The 20,758-nt window shown below is 40.6% G+C and overlaps 1 protein-coding gene across 6 annotated transcripts, besides 1 other annotated feature; it reads right to left on the bottom strand.

The window, feature by feature from the left end:
* Positions 3,670-3,883: a silencer, noted in NCBI's record as "fragment chr7:112136767-112136980 (GRCh37/hg19 assembly coordinates)". NCBI's record gives its function as "represses an EF-1alpha promoter that drives an FKBP-Casp9 reporter gene in an ReSE screen in K562 erythroleukemia cells {active_cell/tissue: K562}" and the evidence as "EXISTENCE:reporter gene assay evidence [ECO:0000049][PMID:32094911]".
* Positions 9,533-20,291, bottom strand: LSMEM1 (leucine rich single-pass membrane protein 1). Of its 6 annotated transcripts, none has more exons than XM_011516074.3 (4): positions 16,989-20,291; positions 15,652-15,783; positions 13,544-13,672; positions 9,533-10,785 (listed from the first exon to the last, which is right to left on the bottom strand). In XM_011516074.3, exons 2-4 carry the CDS (start codon positions 15,776-15,778, stop codon positions 10,646-10,648), a joined length of 396 nt encoding a protein of 131 aa, XP_011514376.1. In that variant the 5' UTR covers positions 15,779-15,783; positions 16,989-20,291; the 3' UTR covers positions 9,533-10,645. The 6 variants fall into 6 exon arrangements, with proteins under 6 accessions (XP_011514376.1, XP_011514378.1, NP_001127940.1 ...); XM_011516076.3 differs by having other exon boundaries at positions 15,652-17,181; positions 19,613-19,742; NM_001134468.2 differs by having other exon boundaries at positions 19,613-19,742.
* Between the last annotated feature and the right edge of the window lie 467 nt (positions 20,292-20,758).

The following is a 20,758-nucleotide window of genomic DNA, read 5'->3' as shown; positions in this document are numbered from 1 at the left end:
AACTGAAGATCATTGTTAGGACTTTTTCCATTTTTATGTTCATTTAGTGTTGAGAACATTAAGATCTAGACACAAATGGGTGACATCAGGCACAGTTTTAATTGTCCTTTCATATTAAGCATGATAAATTCATATCCATACCTATCTATGGCAGTCATTCAAACTCAGAAATGATGTCTTTTCTCTTCCAACAGGTCTGTGAAGCAACTCCCATTCTTTTAGTAGATTTTGAGTTTGCTTTTTTTTTTTTTTACAAGGAATAAACAACAATTCTGTTTCTTTATAGATATAGATTTTCCAATGCTTTGTTTAGTTTGATTACCCAATCCCAGGCAATAGTCTTGAAGGCACAAAACCTGCTTTAGAAATTACAGACTGAGGCAATAGAGAAGAGAAGGGAAAGAGAGGGAAGTCAGAAAGCCAAAAATTATAATAAAATACAGAAATAAACAGCTATGAGGAAGAATTTAATATCATATGCTATAGATCCATGATGTGTTTTTAATTTCTAATCACTCAGATGAACTATGGAAAACCACCATATTCATCCATAAAATATCCTTGACTGCCAAAAGCAGAATCCTGGGCTAAATATCTGACCCAATATGGGTGGACTTTCTTTTCTTAGGTCAAAAATTAAGACCAAAGAATAAGTTGGTATGGAGCCAAAGAAAATAAATAGTCAAAAATCAATCAAGATTCAACTAAAGGTGAGTGCTAAAATAATTGGAAGTAAAACTACACCTAGGAAGCTGATACAAAATGGATGTAGGAAAAGCTTGAAAAAGGAAATGCCAAGTATACTGGGTCAGAAGCCAACCATGAGAAAAGAGTGGGTCTAATTTAGAGCATAACAGTTGCTGGGGGGTTAGCGAACCATCCAGTTATAAGCTGGGTCTCCTAAGATCAAGGCAGCCTAAGCTCTGCCTTCACATCCATGGCTCCTAGATCACCACACTCCATTTTAAACACTTTATTTGCTGAGGAAAAAATGAAAATTGGAAGGCATCCAGAGAAAACTAAAATGACCGTAGAAGGACAGTTTAAAAAAAATGTAAATGAATTAAAGATGGAAAATCTGTTTAAAGGACAACAAATGCAAAGAAGAAAGAATGTAGGAATGAAAGAATGTAGTGCACATTCAAATTTCTAACAAAAAGGATGAGAGCAGGCAGACAAAAAAACTAAACCCGGAGTGGTGGCACAGCCCAGTGGCGCAATGGCTCACACCTGTAATCCCAGCACTTTAGGACGCTGAGGCGGGAGGATCACTTGAGCCCCGGAGTTTGAGACCAGCCTGGGCAACAAAGCAAGACCCCATTCCTACAAAAAAACTTTTAAAAAATTATTCAGGAATGGTGTCACACACCTGTAGTCTCAGCTACTTGGGAGGTTGAGGCAGAAGGATTACTTGAGCCCAGGAGGTCAAGGTTTCAGTGAGCTATGATAGCACCATTTCACTCCAGCCTGGGTGACAGGTCAAGACCCCGTCTCAAAAAAAAACAACAACAAAAAAAGAATTAAACCTGGAGAAACCATAATGCAAAGACGTTCAGGGTCTTGGGCAAAACAAACCAAAAGACCAAGACGGTGTAAATCACAGGGAACATAGCAGAGCTTTATGAAGAAGAGAGGACTTACTGGCTGGGTATTTCTTTTTCTAAACTTCGTAAGTCAGGAATTGAGCTGAACACTGCAGAAAATGTCAGGAACACACAGACTTTCTTGTCTGTCAAATCTCTAAACTAGAGCAGTTTCTTCGGTTGTCAGCCTGTGCAGTTGCAGAGGACACTGTGCTTGGTTTAATATTCTGCTATTGCCATCTTGAAATTATTAAGAATTTATAAACACGGGGCCTGCACTGCATTTTCATTTTGCACTGGGCTCCACAAATCACATAGCTGATCCTGCACTAAATTCAGACTGTAAAGAATTCCACCACAGGCCAGGCGCAGTGGCTCATGCCTGTAATCCCAGCACTTTGGGAGGCCAAGACAGGCAGATCACTTGACGTTAGGAGTTCAAGACCAGCCTGGCCAACATGGTGAAACCCTGTCTCTACTAAAAATACAAAAAAATTAGCCAGGCGTGGTGGCAGGTGCCTATAATCCCAGCTACTGGGGAGGCTGAGGCAGGAGAATAGCTTAAACCCAGTAGACAGAGGTTCCAGTGAGCCGAGATCGCACCACTGCGATCTCCATCTCAAAAAAAAAAAAAAAAAAAAAAAAAAGAATTGCACCACTACCAGCAAAATGTCTCTTTTGTCCTACATCTGAAAACAAAACAAAACAAACAAAAACCAGACAAATTTGAGTAGAGAGTAAAGCAAGAACAAGGACAATCTATTCACCTCCTTTTCCTGCAAGACCCCCTTTCTGTCTCACCTGCTGACTGAGCTCCCCCTCATCATCCTTCCCCAGGACAGCAGCTGCAAAGTCAAGGAGAGTGGACCTTGACTGGACGAGCTGCATCATCAGAGTCCACTAAGCAATGGATTCCTCCACAAAGGTCACTATAAGTTAAGAAAAGCTTTCCCTGGTCAACTGACATCTCTAATCTTTCCAGGTTAAATCATTCTTCTTCATGAAGAATCCACAATCCACCTTTGAGGAGTAAACAGATGCATTTGCAAATAAGAGAAAGCCTAGGAAAATTAGAGGTTTCTTATCCCCAAGCAATTTTAATAAGGAGGAAACTGTAGGAAATACATATGTATATAAATACATTCCTAAAAGCTACTGTTTCTTTACTCATTTATTCAAAAAGCCTTCTGTCTGCCAGACACTGCTAGGCACTAAGGTTTCAAGGATGAAAAAGAGAGACATGGTCTCTACCCTCGTGGTGGTTACAGCCCAGTGGAATGCTGACTGTGAACCAGGAGTTATGCTAAGTGTTTCACAAACACGTGATCTCCTTTCAACCACTATAGGGTCAATGTTATCACCCTCATTTTCAGAGAGGAAGGAACTGAGAAAGAGGTTAAGTTTCCTTCCCAGGCCACACAGCTTTTAAGAATCAGAACTGAGATTCTAATCCAGTTCACCTGACTCCAAAGTCCATCTGGTGCCTGAAAATATTAGGGTAGGACTCCTTGAGGAAGCAAAACCAAAAACATTTTAGAGGGTCTGTTTGAGAAGACTGGATACATGCAGGAGGGATGTTGAAATGAAGGGATTAGAAAGAATATCCCAAAGAGAAGGGACTCTCTGAACAAAGACATCGTGGAAATAGCATGCTATAAAGAACCTACAAAGCAGGATTTGGGAACTATTAAAGATTTTTTACTAGGGAGGGTATAGATTTACATTTTTAAGAAGGTTATTCTAATGGCCTTGTGGAATGAGGACTCGAAAGAGACAAACCCAGAGTCTACGAGACCGGTGGGAAGTCTGTTGTGATCATGTGGACAAAACACAATTATGGGCTTAAGTAGAGCACAGACAGTAGGGATAGGGAGGAAGGGATGGATTTGAGAAATGTTTTAGCAGTTGGAAAGGGACAAATTGACTAGATAGAACATGGTCCCGGGTTAGGAATAGGAGACTGAATTAAGGACAGAGGTTAGTTCTTAAAACAAGCAGTTTACCTCGATGTGAGTCTTGAGGAAAAGCTAAAAGTTAGGGTGAGGTTGTAGGCAGTTCTGTAGAGACATCCAGAGAAACTCTCTGGATGGCTCTGTTATTCTCTCTAAAGGTAGGGTGACCAACTGTCCCAGTTTGCATGGGGCTGAGGGCTTTCCTGGGATAGCAGTTAGCTTATTGTCTGCTCAAGGAGATATCTGCCCTCCCCTGAACCATTCCAGCTCTTATTTTCTGGGCCATAAATTTGGGCACTTAACCATGTCTTCTTTCTTATTTTGCCATTGTGTGGTAACCTTGCTTCCCCACTTAGAGATAAGGTCCATGAGGGATGCACGTCTACATGATGAAAGCGTCTGGAGCTTAATAAATTCCTAGTGCTTCACGAGAAGATTCTTCCCAGAAGAGGCCTGAAGATAAGGTTACCTTGTGCAGACCTTCCTAAAAGTGGGATTGGAGAGCTCCCTTCTGAGGAAAATTCCTCAAATCCAAAAGAACCATCAGCCCCTCTCTAGAGCCAGCAGAAGGTCTTGTCTGGACCTCAGACTCTGCTTTCCCCCTTCTTTCTGCAAATAAAAAGATTAGCCACTCTCATAAATCCAGTGCTTACCAAGTGCTAGGCATCATTTTGTTCGATCATCACAGCAACTCTGTGAGATAAGTGTTATTCCCATTTTATCGAGGAGCTGACCAAGGCCCAGGAAAGGTAAATAACTTAGCCAAGCTCACACAACTTGTGAGCAGCAGAGCCAGATTCAAAGACAGGTCCTTCAATTCCAAAGTCCACAGTTTTCACCACTGTCTACACAGCCCTCTTAGCCTACTCATGGCCATTTCCTCCAGTTGCAGCTCCCAGTTGTTCTAGGTCTGATGCCACCATTTGCTCTCCCTCCAGTATCCCACACATACTCTATCCTCTCACTTTCCTTCTTTCTTTCAAATGGACCTCCTTCGCTTGAAGTACCCAACTGCCACCAGGTGTCCCTCCTCTCCTATTAGTGAACACCACTTTGCTGTAATTGCAAATCAGAGGCAATGCAGACAGCCTGGAAACTCTTCCAAGCTTAATTCAATTAAACAAATTCACGTTATTGAGCAATGTACTAACACGCTGGGGATGCCCAGACCAGAATCAAACAAAGGGAACAACACAAATACACGATTACAAGGCAAAATCTAAGAGGTTCAAATGAAGTTCTAGGCTCAAAAGAAGAGTGAATTGCATCAAGTTGGTGGGAAAACATTTATAAAATATTCCTTTGTGATTTTTACCAAGTAATATGGAAAGAACCTGGGTTTTCTAGCATCTCTACTGAAAGTTTTCTTTAAAAGGTCCCAGACTGAATGTCAAAGGCTGCCTCATGTCTTTCGTCAGTGTTTTTCTGAGTCTATAAAAAACTGTTTTTGAGCCTCTACATAAGTTTACAGTAATTCAGAAGCTGACCCTGACTTATGAATATTAAAGAAGTTTGCTAGGTTTGAGAAGGGGACACAGAGTAGAGTTCTAATTTAGTCTGATTCTGGCGATATTGAAAATCACTTTAGGGAATGACAAATTAGACATTTTTAGCATTGGAGAAGCCTTAATTGAATTATTAACTGGTTTTCAATTGTTTGGTCTGCTCCATTTGTTCATTAAACAATAAATGCTCTGTGGCAGCAGCACTGCACATTCAGAAGGAATGTTCCTAATGAAATAAGCCTGTTACAACTCATTACTTTGGGAATTCATGCATGAAAAATGAATCAAGTTTCAAAATTTAAAAGGGAATAGATGAGGCCAAGAAATGAAGAAGAATTAGGATCATGACTCTCTAAATTCAGGACTGCATTTCTCACAGATCATTTGTTCTTTAGCCACTTGGGAAGACATGAAATATCTCATGCCTGCCTCCATCTAAGAAGACTTCAAACACTGCCTGCCGCCTTGCAGGTGGGCTCTATATTTCATGCCATGGCTGCTGTCTCTGTTCTTATCCACCTTCACATCCTGCTCCCCACATTGCTGGCCAAAAAGCAAATGTCTACAGAAGAATTCCCAGCCATGTTAATGTTAATACTAATCTTGAAGGGGGAAAAAAAAGAGAAAATGAAGAAATGAAACAGAAGTAAATGCTTCCTTGAATTTCTTTCTGACCGATTATGTGACTTCTTTTGATTTCCCTTAAGTGGTGAGGGAAATTCAAGGGTAACACAAGTTTTGTCCAAATTGACTCATTTGCAAAGACAGAAAACTCAGCTAAATTTAAGACAAATTTTATTCTTTGCCGTTTTAGGAGTTGCACTATACTACATAACAGCCTATCTCTGCTCACTTTAACACTTGGTTTTGCTCCTCAGCTCCTGAGGAATAAATCAATCACTTGTCTCAGTTCATGGTGCATGACTGTCATTGGTTCCAATTGATTATTGAATATTTTAATATTGGTTGATTACATTTTTAATCCCACTAAATCTGAAGAGTAGAGTTGTTTCTAAGTCACTTATACGGCTAGATCAAATAAGGGACATCTGACCATCCCCAGAAGGGAATGTCAATCTTCTCCTATCACAGGGTCTAGAAAACGTCTTCAGAAGAAGACTCAAGACAGGAAGTTCCCACTCAAAATGATGGGACTTGGTGGATCCTGATGTAATTGATGTGGGTGGGATCAGGCAGGGGTGAGTCTAATGTGAGTCTAATGAGTCTAATTAGACTCATTAGGGGTGAGTCTAGGTGAGTCTAATGCCTAAGGGTCTCTCCCTTAGGCAGAGACCCGAGCAGCACTACTTTTCTCAACCAGATCTTCTCAGGCTCTCTTGGGGCAGTACGTAGAGCAAGCCCCTTGCCTGGGATCTCCTCGGGTCCCTCACCCTTCGGAGTTCCCAGGTGCTTGCTCAAACCTGCTATCAAAATAGCCCTCAACAGCCCCATAAACTGGAGCCTAAGCTCCGTGCAGTTGAGGAGGTCAAGACAAGTGGGACCGGAGGTACAGGAATGGGATGGAAATAAAGAGAAAATAAAAATGAGTGAAGGAGGAAGTGACAGGGATATGTTCTTCTGAACATATTTGGGGGTTCTTTGACAAGAGATTACTAGTGTTGCCTAAACATTCAAAATAATATCTACAGAATGGCCACCCTCTTTAATATACAATTTAAGTTCATTTAATTTTTTAGTGACCTGTAAACAACACAGAGACTGAAGGGCTTTGTGTCAACTCCCTTATTCTTACCAGCAGCAACACCCTCCCATGATACAGAAGAAAATGCTGAAAGTCAGGGGAATTAAGGAACATGATCAAGGCCACACTGTTACTCGTGCATAGAACCAGAATCAGAACCCAAGTTTATTCTGAATCCGTTATCTGTCCAGCCACCCAAACCGAGCACCAGAATCATCACAGCAGCACTTCATAACAGGAATTCCTAGTCCCACCCCATGCCTGCTAAGTCAGAATAGCCAAGGCCACAGTCCAAGAATCAGGGTCTTTCCAGCCTCTCAAGTGATACTCGGATGGGCACACTGAGGAACTGCTATTTCTGATTCATGATTACAGATCACTACTGGTTGCCTGTACATGGCTTATTTGCATGACCAGATCAGAAGCCTCTTTGAAGGGACCATGATTTCCCTGCCTCTGACACCCTTTGTAGTGTCCAGCACAGCATGGCACCACTGCTGGGCACAGTGTATATGCCTAGTACCCATTTATCAAATGGAATTTTCTTCTGTGTTGTTTTTTCATGTGCTTTTTAAAAAATCATTTTCATCCTCATAAAAAGTAGAATTACATTTCTGTAATGTTTTCCCTATGTAAAAAAAAAAAATTACTGATAAGTCATCTTCACCAAATAAGTGGCTGCACGGATTCCAGTAAGAACATTTTTATGTTTCCTTAAAAGAAAATACACTGCCTGACCACAGTTCTAAGGCTCTCTCTTCTTTTCACAGCTTCTTGGGGCCAAACTCATTCACAGAGGGGATAGATTACCAGTCTTTTCTGATGATCGATCTCTTTTGCTTATCCTTCTCTCCTGAATATAAATAGGGTCATTATGTTAAGCTGGAATAAAATTATTTTTATGCCCTGACTCAAGGAGAACTTGTTTCCATTAATTTTTTTTCTAAGCAATAAAAATTTGTTACAACATGATGGTTTGCACAATATACTCCAAGATACCTCAGTTAGTCCAAATGACATGCGCACCAAGATTCTCCCCTTTTCCCCAGGCTATTGTTACCCAGAACAAAACAGTTGTTTTGTGTTATTTTCATATCTCCTTGTTGCTTTGTTCTTGCTTTGGGGATTGGTGCCCATTGACAGAGTCCTGGCCAGATGACCCTGGTCTATTCCTGAGTGATAAGTTCCCTGTACCCCTTAGGTTGCAGCTCAGTGGCCTTACTAGAAGCCAGGGCCTCCTAGTTCCAGGTAGCTCCAAGATCCAACAGCCTCCAGGTGTCACAGCAGTGCACGGTATGCAGAGCTGGGCCAGGCCCACCTATAGGTGGTTACCAACACAGAACAATTTTGTGGGGCTATAAGAAAATTCTTCCAGGGTCCTCATGGCAGAATACAAAGTACATGACATTGCACCTGGAGTCAGAAGATATGTGTGATCCTCCCATAATGGCTGGCAACATCAGGAAGGGTGTGGAGATAAAGTCTGTTACTAGAACAATCATCTCTCTCTCAGCCTCTTGTGAACACAGCCAAAGTCCAAAGAATGGTGCAAAACTCTCTTTTATTTTCCTATCAGGACATGTCTTGGTTCGGCTGTCCCTTCTATTCCTTTTGCTTCTCCTGGGCCTTACCTTAGTGTCCCACTCCCTCCTCCCAGTGCACCCTGTGGGTCAAGCCCTTAGCCCAGGGCAGACAGACAGGTTCCTGGCTCCATCGCAGGTAGGTAAATGTGGATCCTTATGTTCTTCAGACTAGATCATTTGGAAAACAACAAACCCTCCTGCTTATACTGATCGCCTGTTATACCGTAACTTAACGAGTTATTTTGCTAAAAGACTCTCACCCCATCATCCTTGCTCAGAAGAGATCAGGGTGGCTATCATCTTAAACCATGCCACAAAAAATGTTTTGTCCTTAGTCTCACCAATAGAGGTTTAAATGTAGCCGGTTATTTCCACTATGCCACACCTACTACTTTTAACAATAATATCATTATAATAACAACTAACATTTATTGAGTTAGTCCTTTATATTTTTAAGTCCTTTATATTTATAACCTTTTTTAAGCCTCATAATAATACTATGAAATCAATTTTCTAATTATTCGATTTTACTGAAAACAAAAAATTAAGTTAATTTCCCCAAAGTCACAATAAGTGGTGGCACCAGGATTCAAACCAGGATGTTGGATCCCCTAGTCCATGTTCTCAACCACTGTATTTGACTACCATAGGATTATCTGTAGCCAGCCAATACTTTTTAAACACGTCCAATGGAAGTTGTTAATTTGTGAATCGAATACCCAATACCAGGGGTTGTTGTGACTGAAGTCTTCCAGGCTGTGAGGGTCAGAGGCATCACCACACCTCTGTCTGTGCAATACAGGCAGGACAGTACAGATAAAAAACATTGGCTCCAAAAAGATGAATAAAATGATTTATCAGACACTATTTTATGTTGTAAAAACCATAAATTTCTTGGAATAAAGGTTACAACTGAGGATGAAATATATCCACAGTTTAGATAGAAAAGGGAGAAAAGTATAATAAGGGCATACAGAAAGGAAAGAAATAAGTGTTTTTTTTTTCAAAGAGTTGTTGCATCAGATCATCAGTTTCTGAAACAACTTTACAACGAATCGTGATAACAAATGATTTTTGCCATACCCTATCAATAGGTCAAAAAAGACTTTCCAATAATTGAAAATTTCACGTTTTAACAGTGTTCTGCAAGATATCTATCAATTTTAAGAAAAAGAGTATTAATACAAATGGTTTTTGAGTGCAAAACTGGGTAAGCAAAATGTGTTTATTTCATTAACTATTTAGTATTGTAAAGTGAATGCTTAATATCGTAGTAAACCCAAATGTTTTTGATCAATCCAAAATGATAGAATCATAATACATTCTTCAATTGACCGGTAGAATATTTTTATATTAAATAAAAGATTTTCTAAGACTCATATGCTTTTTAAACTCATTTATTTCACACTGTGTCTTATGTCATATGCTGTGTGTCTTACTTTCATTGCTGGAACTAATGCAGGTTCCAAATATTCTAACTACATAATTTCCTAGTGCAATTTAGGAAAGGCCACAAATCTATCAGATTTCTTCCAAATCAATCAGCAGGGTGCCAAAGGGGTTTTTTCATGAGAAACAAAATACACAAAGTTTATATAATTACATATAACTGTCCATCTCCTTTCTTTATCCTGCACTCTTATGTGAGCTCCTCTTGAGTAGAGTGATTTGCACAGAGTAGGAGCTTAATAAACATTAGTTGAATTAATTAGGCTTTCCCTTTTGACTCTCAGCCCCACATAACTACTGCTCATGTTTTCACCAGCAAACACCAGACAGCAACTAGCTCTGGGGCCCACCCATCACTGTCCCTGGGGAAATAGAGTCAAAGTCTAATCACCTGAGCAGAATCCCTCTTATTGAAAAGAGTAATCACCTGGTTCCCTTCAATACATAAAACTCAATGAATTTCTCAGGCTTTCCCAGATATCTGTAAAGGTGCATGAGGTGTCATGAACTTCATTGACACAGTGAACTTGTTCTGGTAGCAAAGCTCCTTCTGTAAGAAGTTGGACGTACATAGTCAAGTTCTCTTGCTTTGTTGATTCTCCTCCCTGCTAGCCGCCCACCCCATTAAAGTTGAAGTGCCCTACCATAAAAGGGGGCTGAGACAAGTTCACCCCTTTTTAGTTGCTATTCCCATACCCACTTGCCTTGGAATTGCTCCCATCTTGCTGCAGAAAGTGGGCCCCAGGGGTGGGTTGCCTGACCAGATCATCTGTTGCCTGAGGAAGTGCACTTTCTCAGTTCCTAACCCTGTACACTCCCAGGAAAGTAAAAAGCTCAAGGTGTTAGCAGGTGCTTTCAGAAAATCATTCCTTTAGTTTTGTTCAGAGTCCAGTTGGTTGAGTTGGTTGAGTCGCTTTACGATCATGTTATTGATTCTCTTAAGATCATCTATGTCTTTTCCTTCAGCTGTTAGTCTTCTTGACACATCATCCATCTTGTTTCCAGTTTGAACTTCAAAACAGAAAACAGACTGTGTTACATTGGTTTCCACTGTGTTCCACTGAAATTCATCAGATCCCCATGTTGGTGCTCAGCTGATGCTGAAAGACACTCTTGGCAAATCCCCTGTTCCCATATCCATGCATGCCAGAAGCCCAGTAGAGAAACTGGTGAAGGCTGAAGTTGCCTATCCAGTGAATTGTTTTTACAATCTCTTGGTGCCAACCTAGACTACCTTTGGCAACTTCACACCAATTATGGCTAAAAAAGACCTTGCTGTGAGCAACCAAAGGAAGCTGTCAGCATGTTTGATTATCCTCCCAGAAGTGATTGCTATGTTGCTTTATTTTGAGACCCATTCTCAGAAAAAGGTTTTTGCTCATTTGAGAAATTACATTCTTTGGGTTCCAGCCTATTTTGACATAAGTCTGCTTGTTCTGAATTACCAGCCCAAAATGAATGTGTAATAATTCCCCCTCAGACCACCCATTAGAATGGAAGAACAATATTTTCCAAATACACAGGACCTTTGGCAATAAGATACGGAATGGAACACTTTGAGGTTTGCTTATCAGAGTTAAATTTTCTAAGATGGCTAGAGGAAGGATTTAAGATAATAAACTTAATGTATCTAACACAGAGCAATTATCCAGTAAAAAAACACTCTTCTTTATTCACCTGATCTTTCTGTTTCTCATTTAATATGACTTTGTTCTCAATAAAAAACACTCAAGGCAAATATAAAATAAAAGCTATTCATAAAAGTGGAACATAGTGATGTTGATAAAGTACATAGTCTTTGATGTCAAGTGGAGTATCCTTGAGCCCCATTTTGGCACTTATTAGCAACGTGACCTTGGGCACATTAATAGATCTCTCTAAATCTCAGTTTCAGCACTGGTAAAACCAAAATAATAATGGATTTGGCTGGGCACGGTGGCTCACGCCTATAATCCCAGCACTTTGGAAGGCCAAGGCGGGAGGATCACCTGAGGTCCAGATTTCGAGACCAGCCTGGCCAACATGGTGAAACCCCATCTCTACTAAAAATACAAAAATTAGCTGGGCATGGCGGCTCACACCTGTAGTCCCAGCTACTTGGGAGGCTGAGGCAGGAGAATCGCTTGAACCTGGAGGTGGCATTGCAGTGAGCTGAGATCACGCCACTGCACTCCAGCCTGGGCAACAGTGAGATTTCATCTTAAAAATAAAAATAATAATAATAATAATAATGGATTCTACACTACAGAGTTGTTATGAGGTTGTGAGCAAAGAGGTATCAAGGGCTTAGCACAGTGTCTGGGACAGAGTAATGACTCAATATATAGCATTTGGTATTATTTCCCTCAATCTTGCTACTTATCTCACAGAAAAAAAGAATTTGGCAGAGGGTTGTTTACATGTCTGTAGACATACCTAAAATTTCCTAATAGTTTAACTCCGTCATTACCCCCAGGCGGGTGTGGCAGGATGACATGCCCAGTATTAATTTATGTTGGAGTAACGGTTCAGAATACTAGCGCATGTGCTCTTTCTGGCATTGCTGGTTCAGTAGCCAAGCCTCCCCTAATTCATCATCAGATGCAAGTTTGCAACTATTGTAAAAATAGTACACATGTTAGCTTCTAAATGCAAAAGGTCATCAGCCCGGTGCAAGAGAAGCAATTAAACATGACCCCTCCCTCCCAGTCCCAACCCTTTTCTCCAGAGGCTAGATAAAGACCTTCAAGCTGTAAGGAGGGAGGAGTCTTTGGGGGAGGAAATGGGATTGGAAGCGGTGAAAGGGTCATCATGAACTCTGCCCACCTGTCTTCTCTCATCGTCATCATCACCTCTGCCTCCTCTAATCCTGAATGAAATTAAATTAGAGCCCTTCCAAAGGCTACAAAGCACTCAAGGGTGAAAGAAATGACAGTGCAGTGCACCCAGGCAAAAAGGTATCAAAGATGACACCTTCCCTTAGGCTCTGTCTGCTCTTAAGTCATCTGGAAGAGAATCAAAATAATTCCAGATGAGAGAGGAAACTGGTGGGCTCTGTGGGAAGAGGCAACGCTCAGAACGGGAAGACAGCACCGCAGGTGGACAGCACCCCTCCCACATCCAAGGCAGAGAGGAGGGTGGCGCTGAAGGCTTGAAGGATCTCTTGACTGAGAAGCTGAGGTGGGGAAGCCTGAGTCACCACTCAAGGTCACGACATGCATGGCCCAGGCCAAGAGCAGACAAAGCAGGTTATATTAGGAGTAGGTTGCCTGGACAGGATCAAATTGGAAAGAAGCCACCTTTATACATCTCCAACACTGTCTCTGGGGCCTTGCACAAGCCCTCAAGTGCTTCTCATTGATGTCTAGGATGATATGCAAGTGAGAAAACCTGGGAGCGAGTTCAGTTCGAAACCTCAATGTTTCGATGTTATAGATCTGAATTTAGTGGAGAAATCTAGGCATTGGATAAAGTAAAGCTAGAATCAACCAGAATAAGTTGCCTTCCATTGGGCAGCTAGAGGCTCCAAGTGAGAAACTAAAGTGCTATAGAATTATTTAACATACATATTCATGGACTTCTGGCACTATGGGCTTCTGCAGTGGGTTTGTGGCCAAGGGACCCTGTCCTCAGCCAGTGGTGTTCACTCAAGGCATTCCTTCTTTTTTCAATGTAAGCATTGATGACCAGGAAGCATTGACTGGAGGGTGCAAACTTTGTGGGAGCAAAGTTAACCAGCTATGAATAAATGCATACAAGTAATAAAAAAGAAACCTGTGGTGGTACTTACCTATTAGAAATATCACGAAAAAAACCAGTGCCAGGCTGACAATCAGCACAATTAGCAGCCCCACAAAAAACAGACTCCGGCTTCCATTTCCTGAGTTTGTGCCAAGGACTGGGATTTTGTCCTCTAGAGCTAATATGAAACAAACAAAAAACAAGGACAAAAACTGCTCAGCATACAACTTGTCAGCAGAACTGAACAGTACCCCAGTGTTAGACCGTGAGTAATGGACACACCCACTTTCTCTCTGACAAGCCTAGAAAGTGACTCTTTTTTTTTGAGACAGAGTCTTGCTCTGTCAACCAGGCTGGAGTGCAGTGGCTTGATCTCGGCTCACTGCAACCTCTGCCTCCCGGGTTCACGCCATTCTCCTGCCTCAGCCTCCCGAGTAGCTGGGACTACAGGCCCCCGCCACCACGTCCCGCTAAGTTTTTGTATTTTTAGTAGAGATGGGGTTTCACCATGATATCCAGGATGGTCTCAATCTCCTGACCTCATGATCTGCCCTCCTCGGCCTCCCAAAGTGCTGGGATTACAGGCGTGAGCCACGGCGCCCGGCCGTGACTTCTGTTTTAGGAATGTCTTTGGGCACAGAGAAATTTGTGAATTATTTACCTTCTTCTCTATTGGTATTCAAGGAATAAGCAGGGTTAAGCTATCTCCTTAGACCTCTTTGGAAAGTTCTTTGAAGACTGTCTTAACACTGAAATAGCAGAACATGAATTTTTGTGTGTGGGGAGAGGGAATATAGAAGTTAAAGGCTAAGAGTGATAGAAGTTCTATTACCCTTTCCCAAAGTAACCCAGGAGTAAAACAGAGCTGGTTGTGGGATACCTATGCTGGGTGGAAGACTCAATTGAATGCTCTGGGATATTTCCCTGGAAACTTCTTTTATTATAGGAATAATCAGTTAAGCCTACATCCATTTAAACAAAAATGGCCCTGACCTATTTTGGTTTTTTAAAGCTGTCTTCTGGATGGATATGCTCTGGAAGCAACGTTCTTTTAAATGCTTTGCAGTTGAACTGAGAATGCAGCTACATTTTATCGACAGCTTGGTTCACTCAAACCAAGAATTGACTGCATTTAATCACCGTTTTGCAAGATCTAGTTGCCTAATAACACCCAGATTATTTGTTGCAGTGAATAAGCAACGCAGAAACCTGGGGTAGTGGAGATCACTGGATTACTTTTTGCATACTCTCCTACGTTGAATTGGTCCCACTCACTGTGCCACTTGATTATGGACAGATGGGTGGCTTATGTCCCATGCCTTATAAGTACATCCTATGCCATACGCTTCAGCCACTTTTGCTTCCTAATCAAAGCAACAGCATAGGGCTGACACCTAAACTTCTACTGCTATTGAGACTGACAGCAATAAAAACAGATGAAAATTTGAACTTATTAAAATGAAGAAAAAAAGGAGGAACTTGGAAAGGATTTAGACAGGAAATAATAGATATAAAATTGGAACAGTAAGTTTAGAGTGCATATGAAACAAATGGCAAGTGAGCAATTAACACTGGTGTTTGAATGTCAGCATTTAAGCTAGAAAAGATGGCACTCAGAGTGATCTGATAAAGCTCATTTATAATATTTAGGAGGCAAGATACACACTTAGTATTTAGCAGATTTTATTTTGCTCCCCCCACCCCCTTTCTCCAACCCTTAATTGCACAATTTGTAACTTGTAAGTAGAAAATGCTCTGGATTGAGCATTCTCTCAGCAATCTGCTATAAAACAACACTCCTGTGGGAAGTGGTCCCCATCGGTAACCTAGCCATGGTCACTAGGAGAGGGATGAGCCAGCCTCCAGGAGTCCAGCTCTGCAGGCTCCACCCCTTTCCAGGGACAGAAACGCCACAGGATCTCAGAATATTTGAAGTCAAGAGTTCAAATCTCGTGTAGGATCCAAGAAAGCCCATAATCCTGTCAAGTATTCAGAAAACAAAAGCAAAATTGCCCAACAACAAATAACATTTCCAGTGCCAACCTCTTCCTAATGCCCCCTCCCCCTCCACCACACCCACACATCCAGTCAGCAGTGGCTATTTTTAGGTAGCCTAGAAGCTAGGAAGGGCTGCTGTGCCTTCCCCAGCACACATACGGAACAGATGCTGCGATCCGGCTGGACAGAGGTTTAGTTTGTTTAAGTCATTTATGGAATCCACCACATAAAGCTTTCCATCTTCCTGAATGCCACAAGAACCAGTGTCCTGGGAAGAATGAGTCATTGTCCCTGGAAGAAAACACTGATGTTAAAAACAAGAGGTTGGGCTTGTGAACTCAACTTCACAAGAACCACAGCCACCAGGAAGCCAGACAGGCCTATGAAGAACCACCCACAAATAGTATTTTCAACTAAGGCTCTAGAGAACTTGGCTTATCCAGAAAAAAATATTTCCTTCTGTGGACCACTTTGTAATCGTTCTTTTTGCTTTGCTTGCCAGGAAGCTCACAGTCAAATGTGTGGCCCAATTTTAAGAATTGTACATCCATGTATACCCTGCTTATCTGCAAACACTCTTTTCTCCTCCTCAGATGTCTCAGTTCTGCCTATATTTTCCCTGGATCTGTTTTTATTTTGTAACTAATTTTAAAATTTTTCTTTTATTACATTGTTCACATTCTGGTGAGATGCCTCAAATCCTTTGTGCAAGAAGACTAGGTAGACAAAATTAAGCTAGTCAGCAGTGGCCACAAAACATTCTGAAAAAAGAGAATATTACCATGAACCATTCTAATTGCAGGAGGCTTTAATAGAAAATTGCAATTTTTATAGCCTCCCTCCATATGGCATGTAAGTCCTTCTCTTCACACAATTCCTTTAGCCATAAGATGCTGACTGTGAGTCCCCAAGACAACAATCTTAGCAAACTTAGCTGCTATAGAGAGGAATGCTGCTAGACTTCAGGACCTCTGAGATCTCTTCCACCTGGGTTTCCCTTAGACTGAGGTCACTTATGTAATAGCTTGAGGTTTATTAAATATTGAAAGTAATATTCTCTAACGACAGCACAACTGCAAGCAACACTGAAAATCCTGAAGAGTTTAAAAGGTTTATGTGGAGATGTATCTCTAGCACAACAGAGAACTTGTGGCCATTTAATTATGTGAAAAGAAGCCTCTAGAAAGACAAATTTCAATTACTATAAAAGCTTTTCCTTTCATGGTTATCAAGTCTAATCGTGATAGAGGATGTTTGGATCTAGAAAGGGTGTTAGATGTGCTTTAGTTCCCATCCTTTCCGCAAATGAGGAAATGGAAGCTCGGCGAGGTAAATGCCCAGGATCACACATTTGCCTGGCAGCAGAGCTGGAATCGGGCCTTTTGTTCAGCATTCAATGAGTCTTGCTTTGTGCTACTTTTCTTTTCTATATCCCTTCCTAATCCTGCCTCAAGACTCAGCTCAAACATCACTTCCCCTAGGAAGAGAGAACCAACCTGTCTTTCCTTTTGCCTTTGCTGGATTCTTTACATTCTTCTATCAGAACATCTGTAGTATTTTATTGCATCTATTTGCTTACATCTTTGATTTCCCGATAGACTGAAAACTCCTTAGAGTAGGGACGAATCCTATTCTTCAAATGCCCAGTGCCAGGTTTAGAAGTTGGTGACTTATGTTAAGATGGAACACCTGAAATGTTTATTTAGGATTTAAATCTCACCATTTTCAAAAGAATTGGAGGCAGTTAATAATAAGTACATGAACAGAAATAAGATTGAGGATAAAAATCCTCATGTGATGTCTATCTGGACTCTAGTAAAGTCAATGCGATAAATATGGTGCCTGTGTGTATTTGACAACACACTGTTTACTTTCTGTTGTTGCAAAAATTTCCTTTAAAACTCATCTACAGAATGAAGAGCAATATAGAGTTGGGAGAAACCAAATTCATAAAAAAAAAAAAAAAGTATACACCTAAAGAAGATGTGGGGAAAAAAAGTATCAGACACTTACTGAGCAATTTAAACTTAGTCTAAAATATTAAAAAAACAATTTCCCAGTAATACCTAAAACTACTGGTACTTGTGAAAAATGTGCTACCAGAACCCTAGCTAAGAAAGTGAGCTCAAAAAGTCATGGACTAAAAATTTTTTTTAGGGTTAAAACTAAAAAAGTGTGTTTCACTTATCTTGAAATTTTAATTAACAAGAACAAACAATTCCCTGAGTTTTCAGATAAGATACTACCATAGCACTTTATTGACATTACTGAATTCCAAATATACTTCATAGAGCATTCCTAAGGAAATGACTTGATATGACAATTAAAAAAAATTAAAAAGCAGCAGCAAATAGAGTAAAAGGGCCTTAGAGGTCAGTCAAATCTTATCCTTTTGCAGTTAAAACCAAGGCCCCAAAATATTCACTCATGCATAGTCACAGATTTTAAAACAATTCTTTTAGATGTGTTTCATATTTTATCATCCATTTATACTAATATTTGACCAAACAGTAATATGTGACCAGGAAAAAAAGTTTTATGTGTCACATCACAGGACCACTGTTCTGCACACAGCTTCTATTTTAGGTGTGGTAACTGAAGCATGGTTCATTTTTGGATCTCTGACTTAATAGCCTTGAGCCTTAGCTTCCCCTTCAGGAATGTATCTGCTGTTGCTTCAATTTCATACTGAGGCTTAATCAATGTTTACAAAATAGAGACCTAGCTAGAAAATCATGGCCACAAAAACTGACTTTAAGAGTACAGCTAATAAAATCTCCATATTACTGGTCTTGCTATCTACTCAAAAGGTGACTCCAAAAAAAACTAAGACAACAACCTAGTGAGCCATGACGTGCTTTGAAAGAAAATGTCTTCTTTAGAGTGAAGTCACAATGTAAATATATGCTATTCCAATATTTTTTTAATGAGCTGCAACACGCAAATGGAAAAATAAAGAACTAGCAGAGAAAACTGAGTTGGGTGCTGTTCCAGGGCTCCAAGAGCCTGCAAATGACTTGCAAATGACTCATGAGGCTGCTAGTAAAGGGATACAAGATCACATGGCCTTAAAACCAGGCCCCACGGCTGTTTGACACCCAGTAGTTGCTATCTTTGGCATCTCCAAATGAGGGCATCTAGGAACAACCAGCAAGGCTGGAGAAGCCAGTGTTACTAGCAATTCTTCATCACACTAACTTGACCCTCCTTTCAACTCCAGTGTGCAAATTTGCTTATTCACCAAGATTGGCTAAAGCAGCATCCCTTTAACAGAACCCTTTCTTATACCTTGACTGGAAACATGTAAGTAATTTCATTTTCCTCTGGTTTAGATCACTGCTAACAGTTGATTTTTTGTCATTTAAGAATTCTTTGACTATTTACAAATAAATATTCCAACAAATAAAGATAATTGTCTATGAAAAATTGCCTGGTGCTTTATTTTTTAACCAGGCAGGTGCTTGGTATCAAACCACAGAAATAACTCACACCAGTATTGCTTGCCACAAAATCAGAATTGTTATAATAGGGCATAATTCAAAGCTAATAAGCAGTGTTATTGAATGAGTCATGGTAATTTGTTCTTTAATTTCATTTCCCAGTCAATGCCTCTTCACATTCAGGAAGTAATTTTTAAAATCAAGTCTAAATCATTTCTATCAAAAATGAAAAACACAGAGCACATGCAACAAAAACTTCCCAGACTCGAGAATCATAATTCAGTCTCAGTAGAGTAATAGCATGCAAATTACTTACAAAAATGTGAGCTTTGACTGCTAGGTTACCAGAAAAACAAAACAAAACAAAACAAACAAACAAAAACTAATTGTTCAGAAGCAACTACAACAAAACTTTTCTACAAATTCTGTAGTTCTCTCTTTGCCTTTCTTCAGCATACGGGTGCTCCTATGAGACCCATAAGCCCCAGGATGAAACTGTTGGTCTATATTGTGTCAATTTAGCCAAGCAGTGTAAGATTCCAAATCCTGACTTTTTTCATAATGTCTAAGGTTTTTAGTAAATATATTACTAAAACTATGCTTTAAAAAGAAAACAACAAAAAAACACCATGCCCTGATTTAGTTGGTAACTGATGAGGTTTTTATTGGACTGAAGTTACCGTCCTTATCTGGCTGAAGCAACTGTTAGCTGACACCACCTTTCCAGCACTCCTGCCATGGTATGCTTCCATATATAAATATCCTGTAGCAGGCGGAAGCTGCCACTATGATGACTGACTTGCAAACACTCCAGACAAACCAGAGAACTGCAATAAACACGGACAGAATATGATTATGACATCATAACAAGGATGATGGCAGGTCAGACGCCTAGTGCTTCCAGTAGCTACAAAAAGCGATTGTGAGTGGGCGATTTCATGGATACAGACCCACCACAGGTGAAGGAAGCACTCCATCTCATCGGCCGCCTTTCCTTTACAAAGGCTTTGTTCTGTGAGTGTCTGCACATCCTCCTTTCTCAGGAATAACAGCCTTCCATATATGTGGTTCCCTCACATACATGCCAAGGAGCTTCTGCCCTCTGCTGTACATAAAAGATGCTACAGTGATGAGGAGACCAACTATCTCAGCAGGATACTAACAGTGAGGTTGTGAACAACTGTGCAATCCTTTATCATCCTCACTTCCATTGCCATAGCTTGATGGACATTATTCATCTTTGAAACATTTTTCATGTCAGTGAGAAAATAGGTGTTCCACAAAATTTTCTTTGAGACAGAGTCTTGCTGTGTTGCCCAGGCTGGAGCGCAGTGGCATGATCCCAGCCTACTGAGACCTTCCTGCTTCCAGATTCTCCTGCCTCAGCCTCCCAAGTAGCTGGGATTACAGGTATGTGCCACCATAGCTGGCTAATTTCTTTATTTTTAGTAGAGATGGGGTTTCACCATGTTGGTCAGGCTAGTCTTGAACTCCTGACCTCAAGTGATCCACCCACCTCGGCCTCCCAAAGTGCTGGGATTACAAACTTGAGCCACCATGCCCGGCCCAAAATTTTCTTTACACCTATATCCCATACGGACCTCACTCTGCTTTGGGGGAAGAGGAATGTCATTTTTTTTTTCCCTTCACACTACCTAGTCTAAGAGGGAATGTCATTTTTTCAAGCCTCATCTGTACCCAAAGACTAATTCTTGGAGGAAGACAATATAACTAGTAACTTTTCTCAGAAACATACGTTAAAAAGCTATGTCAAATTTCTCTGAATAATGAAAATGTTCATGTTAGCTATTATGCTGTTTTTAAGA

This window comes from Homo sapiens, chromosome 7, assembly GCF_000001405.40.
Source record: "Homo sapiens chromosome 7, GRCh38.p14 Primary Assembly".
Classification (NCBI taxonomy): Eukaryota; Metazoa; Chordata; class Mammalia; order Primates; family Hominidae; genus Homo; species Homo sapiens.
Note: the sequence above shows the minus strand (reverse complement) of the source record. Positions and strands in the feature narration are given on the sequence as shown.

What these genes read in the sequence shown, in the direction of transcription:
- LSMEM1 (XM_017012028.3), bottom strand. Translation starts at nt 15,778, where the DNA reads ATGACTCATTCTTCCCAGGACACTGGTTCTTGTGGCATTCAGGAAGAT. An exon ending in CGGATCGCAGCATCTGTTCC is followed by an intron (nt 13,673 to 15,651) that starts GTATGTGTGCTG and finishes GTTTCATATTAG; the next exon opens with CTCTAGAGGACAAAATCCCA. An exon ending in TTTCGTGATATTTCTAATAG is followed by an intron (nt 10,786 to 13,543) that starts GTAAGTACCACC and finishes TCTGTTTTGAAG; the next exon opens with TTCAAACTGGAAACAAGATG.